At 42.8% G+C, this 15882-nt stretch overlaps 2 pseudogenes, besides 1 other annotated feature; one reads left to right on the top strand and one right to left on the bottom strand.

Moving 5' to 3' along the window:
* RNA5SP150 (RNA, 5S ribosomal pseudogene 150) lies at nucleotides 5958-6076 on the top strand (annotated as a pseudogene).
* Nucleotides 8224-8723: an enhancer, noted in NCBI's record as "H3K4me1 hESC enhancer chr3:181538013-181538512 (GRCh37/hg19 assembly coordinates)". NCBI's record gives its function as "activates a minimal SCP1, AML or CMV promoter by ChIP-STARR-seq in primed H9 embryonic stem cells {active_cell/tissue: H9 hESC(primed)}" and the evidence as "EXISTENCE:reporter gene assay evidence [ECO:0000049][PMID:30033119]".
* Nucleotides 15246-15547, bottom strand: RN7SL703P (RNA, 7SL, cytoplasmic 703, pseudogene; annotated as a pseudogene).

Raw genomic sequence — 15882 nt, 5'->3', positions numbered from 1 at the left:
GAAAAAATGATAGAGAAAAATCAATGAAACAAAAAGATGGTTCTTTGACGAGATCAACAAAATTGACAAACCTCTGCCAAGACTGACAAAGAAGCCTGGGCAATATACCCAGACCCCATTTCTAAAAACATTTTTAAATTTTAAATAACTTATCTGGGCATAGTGGAACATGCCTGTATTCCCAGCTACTCAGGAGGCTTAGGTGGGAGGATTGCTTGAGCCCAGGAGTTCAAGGCTGCAGTGAGCTATAATTGTGCCACTGCCCTCCAGCCTCAGTGACAAGGCAAGATTCAAATTACCAATATTAGAGATAAAACATTGACTATCACTCTAGACCCCACAGACAACAAAAGGATAATAGAATACTAAAACAACTACATATGCATAAATTTAACAACTTAAACGTAATGTGCCAGGCCCTCAAATAACACAAAGTACTCACCAAAAATGAATAGATAATTTAAATAGTCCCAAAGCTATTAACAAATTGAATTTATAATTTTAAAACTTCTCAAAAAGAAATCACCATGCCCAGAAGTTTTCACTGGAGAATTCTCCCAAGGGTTTAAAGGAGAATTAACATAAATTTTGCACAATTTCTTCCAAAATATAGAAGGGGTGTGTCAGGGCAGGGGAGAGATTTCCAATTCATTTCATGAAGTAAAATAATATCAAAACCAGACAAAATTGTACAAAAAAACCCCACTACAGATCCAGATTCTTTTTTTTTTTTTTTTTTTTTGAGACAGAGTTTTGCTCTTGTTGCCCAAGCTGAAGTGCAAAGGTGCGATCTTGGCTCACCACAACCTCTGCCTCCTGGGTTCAAGCGATTCTCCTGCCTCAGCCTCCTGAGTAGCTGGGATTACAGACATGCATCACCACGCCTGGCTAATTTTGTATTTTAATTAGAGATGGGGTTTTTCCATGTTGGTCAGGCTGGTCTCAAACTCCCGACCTCAGGTGATCAGCCTGCCTTGGCTTCCCAAAGTGCTGGGATTATAGGCATGAGCCACTGCGCCGGGCCAGATCCAGATTCTTTACGAAGGTAGACATAGAAATTTTAAAACAAGTAAATTATTTAATTAATTATATTAGCAAATAGAATTAACAAATTTTGTTAACAAACAGAATTCAGTAATATATAAAAGTAATATAGGCCTGGCACAGTGGCTCATGCCTGTAATCCGAACACTTTGAGAAGCCGAGGCAGGTGGGTCACCTGAGGTCAGGAGTTCGAGCCCAGCCTGGCCAACATGGTGACACTCTGTCTCTACTAAAAATACAAAAATTAGCTGAGTGTGGTGATATGTGCCTGTAATCCCAGCTACTTGGGAGCCTGAGGTAGGAGAATGCTTGAACCAAGGAGCGGAGGTTGCAGTGAGCCGAGGTCGCACCACTGCACTCCAGCCTGAGAGACAGAGCGAGACTCCATCTCAAAAAAAAAAAAAAAAGTAATATAATGTAAATGTAATATATAAAAAGAATTATACAAATGACCCATGACCAAGTGAGATTTATTTCAGGCATGCAAGGCTGATACAGTGTTTAAAAATTGCCTGGGCACGGAGGCTCACACCTGTAATCCCAACATTTTGTGAGGCTGAGGCATAAGGATCACTTGAGCTCAAGAGTTCAACACCAGCCTAAGCAACATAATGAGACTTTGTCTTTACTAGAAATCGAAAAAATTGGCTGGGCATGATGGCATGTGCCTGTAGTCCTAGCTAATCAAGAGACTGAAGTCGGAGGATAACTTTAGCCCTGGAGATCAAGCCGGGAGTGACTTATGATTGTGTCACTGCACTGCAGCCTGGACAACAGACAGAGACTCTATCTCAAAAAAATTTAAAAATATAAAAATTTAGAAACTAATTAATATAACCCACCATATTAACAGGCTAAAAAATCACATGATTATATCAATGGATACAGAAAATTCTTATGACAAAATTCAACACCAATTTATTCTTTCAAAAACTTTTGGAGGCCGGGCACGGTGGCTCACACCTGTAATCCCAGCACTTTGGGAGGCCGAGGTGAGTGGATCACCTGAGTTCAGAAGTTCGAGATTACCTTGGCCAACATGGTGAAACCCCGTCTCTACTAAAAATACAAAAAAATTAGCCAGGTATGGTGACTCATGCCTGTAATCCCAGCTACTCAGGAGGCTGAGGAGGAGAATCGCTTGAACCTGAGAGGTGGAGGTTGCAGTGAGCCAAGATTGCGCCATTGCACTCCAGCCTGGGCGACAGAAAAAAAAAAATTGGAAAAATAGGTATAGAAAAGAACTGTGAGATGGATGGGGACAGGAAGTGTCCCTGCAAGAGATAATGAGGGAAAGAAATTAGGCAGTGACAGTAGAAAATATTTAAAGGCTAAAATTGATAGGACTATGATTGATTGAACATGGGGATGGAGGCAGAAATGAAAAAAAGCAAGGTCGGGCGCAGTGGCTCACGTCTGTAATCCCAACACTTTGGCAGGCCGAGGCTAGCAGATCACGAGGTCAGGAGATCAAGACCATCCTGGCTAACACGGTGAAACCCCGTCTCTACTAAAAATACAAAAAAATTAGCCGGGCATGGTGGCAGGCGCCTGTAGTCCCATCTACTCGGGAGGCTGAGGCAGGAGTATGGCGAGAACCCAAGAGGTGGAGGTTGCAGTGAGCCGAGATCGCACCACTGTGCTCCAGCCTGCGTGACAGAGCAAGACTCCATCTCATTAAAAAAAAGAAAAAAGAAAAAAGAAAGAAAAAAACGAAGTAGTCCACATTGTCTCTTACGTTTCTGTCTTTGATAACCAGGTAGGTGGAGTGGGGGAAAGGGGTGTGTTTATGAGAGAGGTCTTGCGTTAGAAGGAGTAGATTGTGGAGGATCAAGAAACTTAAGGTGATCCATTTCAGTATGCCTGGGAGTGGTGAAGGCAAAGACAAGCAAATAAAAAGAGTCCCTTTAGAGTTCTTCCAGTCAAAATAGTTGGTGAATCACCGCTACCTTGGGTTTAAACAAAAAGCACTCAAATACTAGAACTCAAATGAACACTGATGGTGATACCAAGAAAAAAGCCCCACTGGGCGCAGTGGTTCAGGCCTGTAATCCCAGCACTTTGGGAGGCTGAGGCGGGTGGATCACTTGAAGTCGGGAGTTCAAGACCAGCCTGGCTAACATGGTGAAACCTTGTCTCTACTAAAATACAAAAATTACCTGGCGTGGTGGCGGGCGCCTGTAATTTCAGGTACTCAGGAGGCTGAGGCAGGAGAACCACTTGAACCTGGGAAGTGGCGGTTGCAGTGAGCCAAGATCGCGCCACTGCACTCCAACCTGGGCGACAGAGTGAGACTCAGTCTCAAAAAAAAAAAAAAAAGTCCCAATATTAATCCTTGCCCCCAGAATGTTATCAATCTGTCATTAAAACATACGGGTTTTTGGCTGGCAGCAGTGGCTCATGCCTGTAATCCCAGCACTATGGGAGGCCAAGGTGGGTGGATCACTTGAAGTCAGGAGTTCAAAACCAGCTGGCCAACATGGTGGTCTCCACTAAAGACACAACAATTAACTGGGTGTGCTGGCGGGCGCCTGTAATCCCAGCTACTCAGGAGGCTGAGGCAGGAGAATCGCTTAAACCCTGGAGGCGGAGCTTGCAGTGAGCTGAGATCGTGCACTCCAGCCTGGGCGACAGAGCAAGTCTCCATCTCAAAAAAAAAAAAAACTGGTTTTCAAGAGATCAGCAAAGAGAAGACAGTGGCAGTTCAGACTTGAAGTGGCCAAACGCAGAGTAAGGACACCACTCTGGTGAGTTGCTGCGCTTACGTCTGCTTTTCAAAAAGCCACTGTCCTCCCCCTTTTGCATCTGAATAAGGAACAAGGAAATACCACGTATGTGATGTGACAGGATGCCAGCAGAGAAGCCTCGGTCACTTGTGTAAAATAAGCACAACCCTATTCTGCCATGTCCACTTGGTCTTAGCCCGTGTGACTTTCTGCCCCCCAACTCTCTTCTCTTTTACCTCTCATTATCCTACATCTCCCCTAGAGCATGTGGCTCTATTCCTCACATCCCAGCTTTGTCATTAATTAGGTTGTTCATTGCGTTTCCATTTGAGGATTACAGAGCTCAAAGGTCCTTAAAAAAAAAAAAAACAGGCCAGGCGCGGTGGCTCATGCCTGTAATCCCAGCACTTTGGGAGGCTGAGGCGGGTGGGTCACCTAAGGTCAAGAGTTCCAGACCAGCCTGACCAAACTGGTGAAACCCCGTCTCTACTAAAAAATACAAAAATTAGCTGGGCGTGGTGGCGGGTGCCTGTAATCCCAGCTACTCGGGAAGCTAAGGCAGGAGAATCACTTGAACCTGGGAGGCAGAGGTTGCAGTGAGCTGAGGTTGCGCCACTGTGCTCCAGCCTGGGCGACAGAGCAAGACTCCATCTCAAAAACAAAAAAACTAAAACATATTCCTCCTATTACGGGTACCCCTTTTCTGATCAAGAAACTTTCATTTGCCTCCACGTACCAGGCAACTACATGCTTTCCTTCTGCTGTTTGCAGTCTTAGTCACAACCCCATGGAAGGATTAGGCGCAAATGTCACTCTGCTGTTTCCTTCAGTAGATGATGTGAGTATAAATTGGATTGTGTAAGTGCATATTAGCTCTTTCCCTTCAATGCTAATACAGCAAGCTGTATTTGAGATCTTTTTTACTTCCTTGCAGAAGGATAGAATGAGAAAGCAAGGGGTCACAACTTTCTTTCTCTTGGCAAGCAGAAATATTGAACTGAGAAGGCTGCCAAACTGCCAATCTCTGTATGAAATGTATCCAATAACCTAGGGATTAAAATTCTGGATGGCCACTAACTGTTCTCGTGGAGCTTATTGGAAACGATTTCTTTATGAAGATTTCTAAGGAGGCCCTTCCAGCGCAGTCACAACAGTAAGGCCTCCCATGCGATAGAGAGAGCAGAGCAAATAACACCTTTATGAGAGATTAAAATAGTAACAGGTAAACTGCACAGGCTGCACCATTCTCTGTGGCAGTCCAACAAAGCTAATCTCAACATTGTTTACTCTCAACACTCCTGTAAACTCAGATCCCACTTGTCTTTCACAGTTGTGTGTACCAGAGCACCTCAAAGTGAGATCTGGAAGCAGTGTTGCTTTGTGAACTGATTGTTACTGGTTAGCCATAGGTGTAGAAATTGAGAGTAGGTCTTTAGAGTCATTTATAGCAACCCACAGAATATTTTTGTATATCATAATTTAAAAGTTAGACGTCTTTTCAAAATATCACATTTCTAATAATGTACTTCTTTCTTTGTTTTTACAAAAGTATAAATCAGCTGAGGATTAGGAAATTTTTTACTTTTATTCTTATTTATTTATTTATTTATTTTTTAGGAGACAGGGTTCTCACTCTGTTGCTCAGACTAGAGTGTAGTAATGTGATCATAGCTCACCATGACTTCCCCAGCTTTGGGGCTCAAGCAATCCTCCTGCCTCAGCCTCTGAGTAGCTGGCACTACAGGCACATGCTACCACACCTGGCTAGAAAGTTTTTTTAAAGATCTGGATGGCTGGGGATGGTGGCTCATACCTGTAATCCCAGCACTTTTGGAGGCCAAAGCAGGAGGGTCACTTTAGCCCAGGTTTAGACCAACTTAGGCAACATAGTAAGACCCCCCCGTTCCCAACCTATACAGAAAAAATTTTAAATCAGCAGTGTGTGGTGGTACACACCTATAGTCCCAGCTACTCTAAAGGCTGTGGCAGGAGGATTGCTTGAGCCCAGGAACTAGAGGTTACAGTAACCTATGATTACACCATTGCACTCCAGTCTGGGCAACAGAGTGAGACCTTGTTTCAAAATCATCATCATCAACATCATCATCATCATCATCATCATTTATTGTATATTTCAAAATGGCTAGAAGAGAAAATTTGCAATGTTCCCAACACATAGAAAAAATAGTCTACGGCCATACCACCCTGAACGCGCCCGATCTCGTCTGATCTCGGAAGCTAAGCAGTGTCGGGCCTGGTTAGCACTTGCATGGGAGACCGCCTGGGAATACCGGGTGCTGTAGGGTTGGCCGGGCGCGGTGGCTCACGCCTGTAATCCCAGCACTTCGGGAGGCCGAGGTGGGTGGATCACAAGGTCAGGAGATCGAGACCATCCTGGCTAACACGGTGAAACCCCATCTCTACTAAAAACAGAAAAATTAGCCAGTGTGGTGGTGGGCGCCTGTAATCCCAGCCACTCAGGAGGCTGAGGCAGGAGAATGGCGTGAACCCAGGAGGCGGAGCTTCCAGTGAGCCGAGATTGCGCCACTGTACTCCAGCCTGGGCGACAGAGCGAGACTCCATCTCAAAAAAAAAAAAAAAGAGAAAAGAATGTTTGAGTTGGTGGATATCCCAAGTGCCCTGATTTGTATACAGGTATCAAAGTATCATAGGTACCCCCAAAATATGTACAACTATATCAATTAAAAAACACAAAAAAACTTAAAAACTCTACAGACATACCCTTCTTTAATTTTTCTTTTTCCCTCATTAAATATATCTAATAGGACAAAGTCCTATGGATTCTATCCCTGAAATTTACCTCATGTCTCCTCACCCTGCCTTTTGTCATATTTTCTAACTGAACTTCTCCTAACTGAAATTCCTGTCTCCAAGCACGGCCATCACTCTAACCCTAATCCTATCCCTAACCCTAACTCTGCTGTTAGGCCATCACTGTGCTGTTAGAGAGATCTTTCTTTTTTTTATCTTTTTTTTGAGATGGAGTCTCGTTCTGTCACCCAGGCTGGAGTGCAGTGGCGTGATCTCGGCTCACTGCAACCCCCGCCTCCTGGGTTCACGCGATTCTCCTGCCTCAGCCTCCCGAGTAGCTGGGATTACAGGCACATACCACCATGCCGGGCTAATTTTTTGTGTATTTTTAGTAGAGACGGGGTTTCACTATGTTGACCAGATTGATCTCGAACTCCTGACCTCTTGATCCACCTGCCTCAGCCTCCCAAAGTGCTGAGATTACAGGAGTGAGCCACTGCGCCCGGCAGAGAGATCTTTCTAAAATGAAGATGTCTCTCTTCTGCCTAAAAACTCTCACCTTATACAACAAATTCCAAACTCTTTGCTGAACTTGTAAAGCCCTTTGTAACTGAGTCCAGCCTACACTCTTGGCCTCATCTTCAGCCCCACTCTCCAAGTCACCCTAAGCCCCAGCCATGCTCAACTGCTTGCTACTCTTCAGACACATTATGAAACTTTTTACTCCATGAATAATACTCCATGCCCTGGTTCACTCTGTCACCTCTGCCCTGGAATGCCTCTTCCTCCATGTGTAACTGGTGCTTTCATCCTTCAAAGCTCAGCTCAGGTCACTTCCTTTTTGTATTTTCTCTGACATTCCTCCTTTTTTTAATTTTTCCAGATATAATTACTCTCTTATCTACATATGTCTCTTACTTTATATCTATACTTATATACATATTTCACGGGGTTTCACCATCTTGGCCCCGCTGGTCTCGGACTCCTGACCTTGTGATCCACCCGCCTCGGCCTCCCAAAGTGCTGGGATTACAGGCGTGAGCCATGGTGCCCAGCTATGTCAGTATTATGAGTTAAGACATTCTTTTGTTTACTCATTTATTTATTCATTCATTTCTTGGGAAACACATGCTCCAAACTCTCAGGATCTAGTTAGTGGTGACTAAGATAAAGAAGGTCACAGCCATCATAGAACTTACATTGCAATGTAGGAGACATAAAACAGAGTAATAAACCAAAGCAAGCAAATAAACAAACAAGATAATTACATGTGTAGATTATTGCTAGGAAAAAAATCTGAACAGACCGATGAGGAAGAGTCTGTCTGCAGAGACCAGCCTAGACAGGGAGGTCAGGAAGATTCCCTGAGAAGATGACACTTGAGCTGAGATTTGAAAGATGAGAAGTGCAGAACGGGACTGACTTGTTCAAGGAAAAGAAAAAAAAGACCAATATGGCTGGAGCAGAGTGAGCAGGGCTGAGCAGTATAAATCAAGTTGGGAAAATGGGCCCCAGGCTATAGGACCTCACTAGGATACAGTAAGGAGTTTAGCTTTTACTCTGAGCAGTATTAGCCCTTCAAGGGTTTTAAATAAGGCAGTGGATTGGATCCAATTACAATGTTAAGAAATGTACAATTGTCCTTGTAGAGAGTGGATTAAAGAAGAGCAAGAGAGAAGATCAGGGAACAGATGAAGGGATTATTCTAGAATTGTAAGCCAGAGGTGATGATTGCTTGCAGGTAGGAGGGCAAAGGTGAGGATAGAGAGAAGTAGATAGATGAGAGATGTCATCTGAAGGTCAAATTAAAAGCCCTGGGTGATGGATTAAATGTGTGTGGAGCTAGGGGGAGATAAGGGAAATGAAGTAGTAAGAACTACCCTGAGCCGGGCGTGGTGGCTCACTCCTGTAATCCCAGCATTTTGGGTGGCCAAGGCAGGAGGATAACTTGAGCCCAGAAGTTTGAGACCAGACTGAGCAACATGGCAAGAACTCGTCTCTAAAAAAATAAAATCCCATGCCCCTGCAGTCCCAGGTACTTAGGAGGCTGAGGTGGGAGGTTCACTTGAGCCCAGGAGTTTGAGACTGCAGTGAGCTATGATTGTGCGACTGTACTTCAGCCTGGGTGACAGAGCAGGACCTTGTCTCAAAAAAAGAAGAAAGAAAGAAAGAAAGAAAGAAAGAAAGAAAGAAAGAAAGAAAGAAAGAAAGAAAGAAAGAAAAACCGAATAACCCCTGATGTTTTGGGACATTGGTGGTATGAATTAAATTGGTGAGGGAGCCTTTGGGACCAGGTTTTGTGTAGTGGGCTGGAGGAGAGGTAGCGACTAGAATTAAGAGCCTTGGGCCGGGCGTGGTGGCTCATGCCTGTAATCCCAGCACTTTGGGAGTCTGAGGAGGGTGGATCACCTGAGGTCAGGAGTTTGAGGCCAGACTGGTCAACATGGTGAAACCCCGTGTCTACTAAAAATACAAAAATTAGCTAGGTGTGGTGGCGAGTGCCTATAATCCCAGCTACTGGGGAGGCTGAGGCAGGAGAATTGCTTGAACCCGGGAGGCAGAGGTTGCAGTGAGCTGAGATGGCTCCACTGTACTCCACCTGGGCAAAGAGCAACACTGCGTCTAAAAAAAAAAAAAAAAAAAAAAAAAGCTCTGTTTTGGATGGAGATGCATATTAGACATCCAAGAGAAGCTGTCAAGAATTAGTAAATAACTAAAAGGTAGAAAAAGAAACTGAGGCTAAAAACAGTTATACATGTACCAAATTTTAGGATCACCCAAGTCTGCCCGACTCATAAACACTAAGCTAAGTATATGCAAATTGGCAATTTTTTCTTTCAGGTATAATTAGAAAATAGTACAAAACGTTTGGGAATAGAAAGGTAAAATACATGGTTAAAAAAATAACTTTTTTTTTTTTTTTTTTTTTTTTTTTTTACTGTTTTGAGCTTTTTTCCCCCGGCACAATCTTAAATGAAAGAAATGAAAATAAAACAAAATAACCTCTGTCCTGGGATGGAGTTAAGAATACGCAACTCTGGAGTAGGTTGGGTTCAGTTGATGTCTCTACCACTTACCCCTGTGTGACCTTGAATAGGTTCTCTCAAAGCTTTGTACCTCAGATTCTGATCAATAAAACATTTTAAAATACCAGCCGGGCGCGGTGGCTCACGCCTGTAATCCCAGCACTTTGGGAGGCTGAGGCAGGTGGATCACAAGCTCAGGGATCGAGGTCAGGAGATTGTGTGACTAACATGGAGAAACCCCGTCTCCACTAAAAATACAAAAAAAATTAGCCAGGCATGGTGGCACGCATCTGTAATCCCATCTACTCGGGAGGTTGAGGCAGGAGAATTGCTTGAATACAGAAGGCAGAGGTTGCAGTGAGCCGAGATCGCACCACTGCACTCCAGCCTGGGTGACAGAGTGAGACTCCATCACAAAATATATATATAAAATGATGCAACCAATGTGAAAAATAGTTTGATGGTTCCTCAATAAGTTAAACATAGATTTACTATATGATCCAGAAATTCTACTCCTGAGTATATATCCAAAATAATTGAAAACAAAAACTTGTATACCAATGTTCATAGCAACTCTATTTTGAAAATAGCGACACGGTGGAAACAACCCAAATGTCCATCAGTTGATGAATATGTAAACAAAATGTGATATATCCATATCGTAGAATATTATTCAACCATAAAAAGGGATGAAGTACTGATACATGCTACAACATGGATGAACCTGGAAAACATTATGCTAAGTGAAACAAGTCAGATACAGAAGGCCATGTAGTGTATAATTCCATTTATACCAAATATCCAGAATAATCAATAGAAGAAGAAAAGCTAAATATTGAGCTCTTGCCACATGCCAGGTACTGTTAGAAATTTTTTAGATATATAAACTCATTTAACCTTTGTAAAAACTATTATTACTCCCATTTCATAGATTTCAAAATTGAAGTACAAACCTGGGACTTTAAATAGTCTGGTTATAGAGCTTCTGTTTATAATGACTATATAACCCTGAGTAAAGACATTCAGATTTCTTCTTCTTCTTCTTCTTCTTCTTCTTCTTCTTCTTCTTCTTCTTCTTCTTCTTCTTCTTCTTCTTCTTCTTCCTCTTCTTCTTCCTCTTCTTCCTCTTCTTCCTCGTCTTCTTCTTTTTTTCCGAGACGGTCTCACTCTGTTGCCCAGGCTGGAGTGCAATGGCATGATCTCAACTCACTGCAACCTCTGCCTCCAGGATTCAAGCCATTCTCCTGCCTCAGCCTCCCAAGTAGCTGGGACTACAGGCATGAGCCGCCATGCTGGCTAATTTTCATATTTTCAGTAGAGACAGGGTTTCACCATGTTGGCCAGGCTGGTCTCAAACTCCTGGCCTCAAGTGATCCACCCACCTCGGCCTCCCAAAGTGCTGGGATTACAGGCATGAGCCACAGCACCCGGCCTGAAACTGCAGTGAGCCGAGATTGTGCCACTGCACTCCAGCCTGGGAGAGAGGGCAAGACCCTGTGAAAGAAGCAAAGGAAGGGGAGGGGAGGTGAGGGGAGGAAAGAGAAAAATATAGGACTTTGGGAAATGACCCATGCAAAAATTAGAGTAACCGTATTTTGAATCTTTTCCTAGGAATACAACTTGGAATCCAGCACGCAACTTAGTTTCCCCAAGACTAATAAAATAAGATTTTGCTCCTTACTTTACCTTACAAATTGAATTCATACGGAGATAATATTTCCTGTGAGATCACACATAACACTCACAAGGCAAGACATGTATGCACTGGAATTTAATATAACTAAATTTCAGAGATATTTGTAAATGGGCTCAACGTGTAAAAATTGATTCACTTGCAAAGGGGCCAGTCTATCTGTAAGGAAAGACTGGAAGAATTTTGTAAATCTGTGGGATGTGGTTGGGGACCACAGAGAAAAAATCAGAACTACAAAATGGCAAAGTTGATTTCTAACATTCATTTTTAGTTGGAAATGTATGATTTCGAAGCAAAGTAATAAAACAACCTCACTGCTGCATTAAATCAGTGAAAGCATCGTTTCATTAATTTGTTTCTTTGTTTACTATTTTGTCAACTTATAGGTGTCAGATGTATTTAATTTTAATTCAAAAAGTATTCTTAAAATAATTTTATTCTTCTTCAGATTCCGAGTCAACATTTTTCTATACTTCAATATTTGCGTTAATCCATAGAGCCCTTACTCTTTGTGAAGTACTATTTCCATGCCTACATACTATACATATAACACAATTTAATGGAATAAATCAGAGTTTGCAATCATAATAATAATAGTTTTTCTTATGTCACGACCAGGACTTGATATAGGTCATAACCAGGAGATACTTCCACTACTTTAAACATATTAACTCAGTTAATTGTTGAGACAATCTATTAAGGTAGATACTATTGTCATCTCTATTTCACAGATGAGGAAACTGAGGCAGACAGGGTCACCTAGCTCTAGTAAAGGATGAAGCTGAGGTTGGAATGAAGGAAGGTGGCTCTGAGGACCATGCTCATACCCAAGGTCTAGAAAGACCTGACTTAGATTCTGGCTCTAAATATACAGCTGAATGGCTTGAAGAAGTCCCTTAACTTCCTGGAGCATTGTTTCTCCATTTGTGAAAAGGTAATTATAATAAACACCTCACAACTTTTTTGTAAATCATGTGTGTGAGAGCACTTTTACAAACAGTAATGGGATACCCAATTATGGCATCTATTGTTTTGTTAACATGTAAAGCTAAAAACTGGATGAGCTGTTTACAAGAGGAAAAAATTGAAAATAAAGAACAAAGGCAACCCTGATAATATCTAGACTCTCTATTTGATTAAAACATACATATTCTTTGTTAGATACTTTGGCTGCATCAGACATTAAACAAGTAATAAGATCATATTTTCACTCTTCACTCCTGTATTATAAGAGGAGAAAACTTAAAATTAAAACACTTTCAGAGACCTATTTTAGCTGAAACAATAATTGATTTTAAACTCTAGGAGAAAAGGCTCTGGCCAGGTCAAGGAGAGTTTGGAACATGCCATTTGTCAACTGCAGTTGACAGAGTGCCCCATGGGAGAATGCAGTCAGAGACTCAGCCCAAGCAAGTCCCCCAGAAAAGTCTCCTAGAAATTTAAGCAAGAGACTCTGAGCTGGAAACTTACCGTTGTTTTGTTACATCTTTCCAAATCAAGAATTCTTGAGCATTTTCCATTATTGTCCTTCGTCTTAAAGGAGACAATATATTGCTATTGTTGTTTTTTGTTTTGCTTTTTCTTTTTTTTTTAGATGGAGTCTCACCCTTGTCACCCAGGCTGGAGTGCAATGGCACAATCTCGGCTCGCTGCAACCTCCACTTCCCCAGTTCAAGCAATTCTCCTGCCTCAGCCTCCTGAGTATCTGGGATTACAGGCGCCTGCCACCACGCCCGGCTAATTTTTTTATTTTTAGTAGAGACAGGGTTTCACCATGTTGGCCAGGCTGGTCCCGAACTCCTGACATAAGGGGATCCACCTACCTCTGCCTCCCAAAGTGCTGAGATTACAAGTGTGAGCCACAGCACCCAGCCAATATATTGTTGTTTACAAAAAAATAACAACTTTGAAATCAGATACTAATTTAAATTCTAGCAGCTTGGCTTTATTAGCTGGTGAATCTGGGTCATTATCCCCTTTCCAGAGTCTCTATTTCTTCCTACTTAAAAGGAAATAATATACTGTTTACCTCAAGAGGTGGTTAGTATATGGATTAAGTAGGAATAATAATAACAGTAATAGCTAACAAGTGTTGAATACTTCTAATGTGCTGAGTGCTACGCGAAGTTTTTGGTTTTTGTTTTTTGTGTTTTTTTTTTTGAGATGGAATTTCGCTCTTGTTGCCCAGGCTGGAGTGCAATGGCGTGATCACAGCTCACTGCAACCTCCGTCTCCTGGGTTCAAGCGATTCTCCTGCCTCAGCGTCCCGAGTAGCTGGGATTACAGGCATGCACCACCACCCCCTGCTAATTTTGTATTTTTAGTAGAGACGGGGTTTCACCATGTTGGTCAGGCTGGTCTCGAACTCCCGACCTCAGGAGATCTGCCCGCCTTGGCTTCCCAAAGTGCTGGGATTACAGGTATGAGCCACCGTGCCCGGCCACAAAGTTCTTTACATATGCTTCTCCTAGTTAATCCTCACACTACCCTATGAGAAAGGTGGCATTGACTCTATTTTATATGTGAATACACGGATGCTTCATGATGATAAGCAGCTAACAAGTAGTGGATCCAAGATCAATGAAACAACCACAATGACACATAATAGCTATTTTTAAAATTTAGCTCCTTTTCCTTAGTAGCCTTAAAGGAGGATTTCAGGAAGAGGATACAGTCTTTACTCTTTCTTTGGCACAGAACTCAGGGGTCCAACCTCCTTTGGGAACCTGCCATGGCTCCATACAGAACTTTCTGCCTCTGACTTATTGCCGAGATAAACCTATTTATACCTTGAGATTTCAGACAGAAAAGGTGCAGCAAGATGCGAATATTGAAAAACTTTAAAATAGCAATCCTCCAAGCATGCTCATCAAGTGAAGTAAAACGTCCATATCTGTTTTCATCTCTGAATCGCTGAAGAAATTTAGTGCTAGAAGCCAGGCTGTGACTTGCCTGGCAAAGTCCCGATCAATTTAGTTTATGTCCTTAGTCTGCCACTGAACCTATTCTCATTTCTACAAAGGGTGAGAGGCAGGATGGTGAGGTAGGATGATGGATTTGAGGATTCCGGACTCCAGTTACTTCCTAGCTGGATGTCTTTGAACCAGTTGCTTAATTTCTCTGAGGTCCATTTTCTTATCAGTAAAATAAAGATAGGAAAAGCTACCTACCTCATCAAGTTGTTAAAAGGAGTAAGAAGCCAGGTGCGGTGGCTCACGCCTGTGATCCCAGCACTTTGGGAGCCCGAGGCAGGCAGATCACTTGAGGTCAGGAGTTCAGGACCAGTCTGGCCAATATGGTGAAACCCTGTCTCTGCTAAAAATACAAAAATTAGCCGGGTGTGGTGACACATGCCTGTAGTCCCAGCTACTCGGAGGCTGAGGCAGGAGAATCTCTTGAACCCAGGAATCAAAGGTTGCAGTGAGCAGAGATCACACCATTGCACTCCAGCAGCCTGGGCATCACAGCAAGACTCTGACAAAAAAAAAAAAGAAGAGGAGTAAGTGAGGTCTTTCTGAATGTTGAATCCGATAGAAAGCTGACTCTTTTGTTTTTAGGCAGGGATTTGTTCTGTCACCCAGGTGCAGTGGCCCAATCACAGCTCATTGCAGCCTCAACTTCCTGGGCTTAGATAATCCTCCTGCCTCATTTTTCGATACTTTTTTGTAGAGATGAGGTCTCACTATGTTGCCCAGGCTGGCCTTGAACTCCTGGAATGAAGTGATCCTGCGGCCTCAGCCTCCCAAAGTGCTGAGATTACAGGCATGAACCACCACACTCAGCCGAAAGCTGACTTTTTCTAAAGTCAGTTTCCCAAGGACTATTCTGGGCTTTCACCGTAAAATCTAATGCCCCTGGGAAGTTTATGCATGCACACGTCTCGAATGCCCCCTCACTGTCTAGGCTCCAATACTTCCCAGAATACAGTTGTCCTTTCTTGTGTATCATCAATCATTCGTTCATCCAGCAATTTTTTTTTTTTTCAGGGATGGGGTCTCATTATGTTGCCCAGGCTGGAAAGCAGTGGCTATTCACAGGCACAATCACACTATTGATCAGCACAGAAGTTTTGACCTACTTCATTTCCAAACTGGGCTGGTTCACCCCTCCTTAGGCAACCTAGTGGTTCTTTACTTTCAGAAGGTCACCATATTGATGTCAAACTTAGTGCAGACACCCAACAGGTATAGTGCACTATAGCCCAGAACTCATAGGTTCAAGTGATCCTCCTGCCTCAGCCTCCCAAGTAGCTTGGATTACAAGCATCCATCACTACATGATCCAGCAAACATTTTATGAGCCTTGTTATGAGTGGGGACCTGGAATGAATGCTGGGCGTACAACTATAGAACTAAACAGACACAGTCCTTGCTGCCAAAGACCCAGAGGTCTAGTGAGGGAAAGGACGTGATAATTCTTGTTGTCCATGTGAGAGGGAAGGGCAAGGTGTTGTAGAAATGCATATAATGGGGACTTTACCTAGACTTGGATGGTCACAGAAACCTGTTTGAAGAAGTTAAATTGTATTTAGAGAGTAGCTCTAAAGGGATGTGGTATGTAAACTTGTGCAAATGACATCTCTCTATCTCTCCTTTTTTTTTTTTAAATAGATGTGGCAGAA

The sequence above is a fragment of the Homo sapiens genome, chromosome 3 (assembly GCF_000001405.40).
Source record: "Homo sapiens chromosome 3, GRCh38.p14 Primary Assembly".
NCBI lineage: Eukaryota > Metazoa > Chordata > Mammalia > Primates > Hominidae > Homo > Homo sapiens.
Note: the sequence above shows the minus strand (reverse complement) of the source record. Positions and strands in the feature narration are given on the sequence as shown.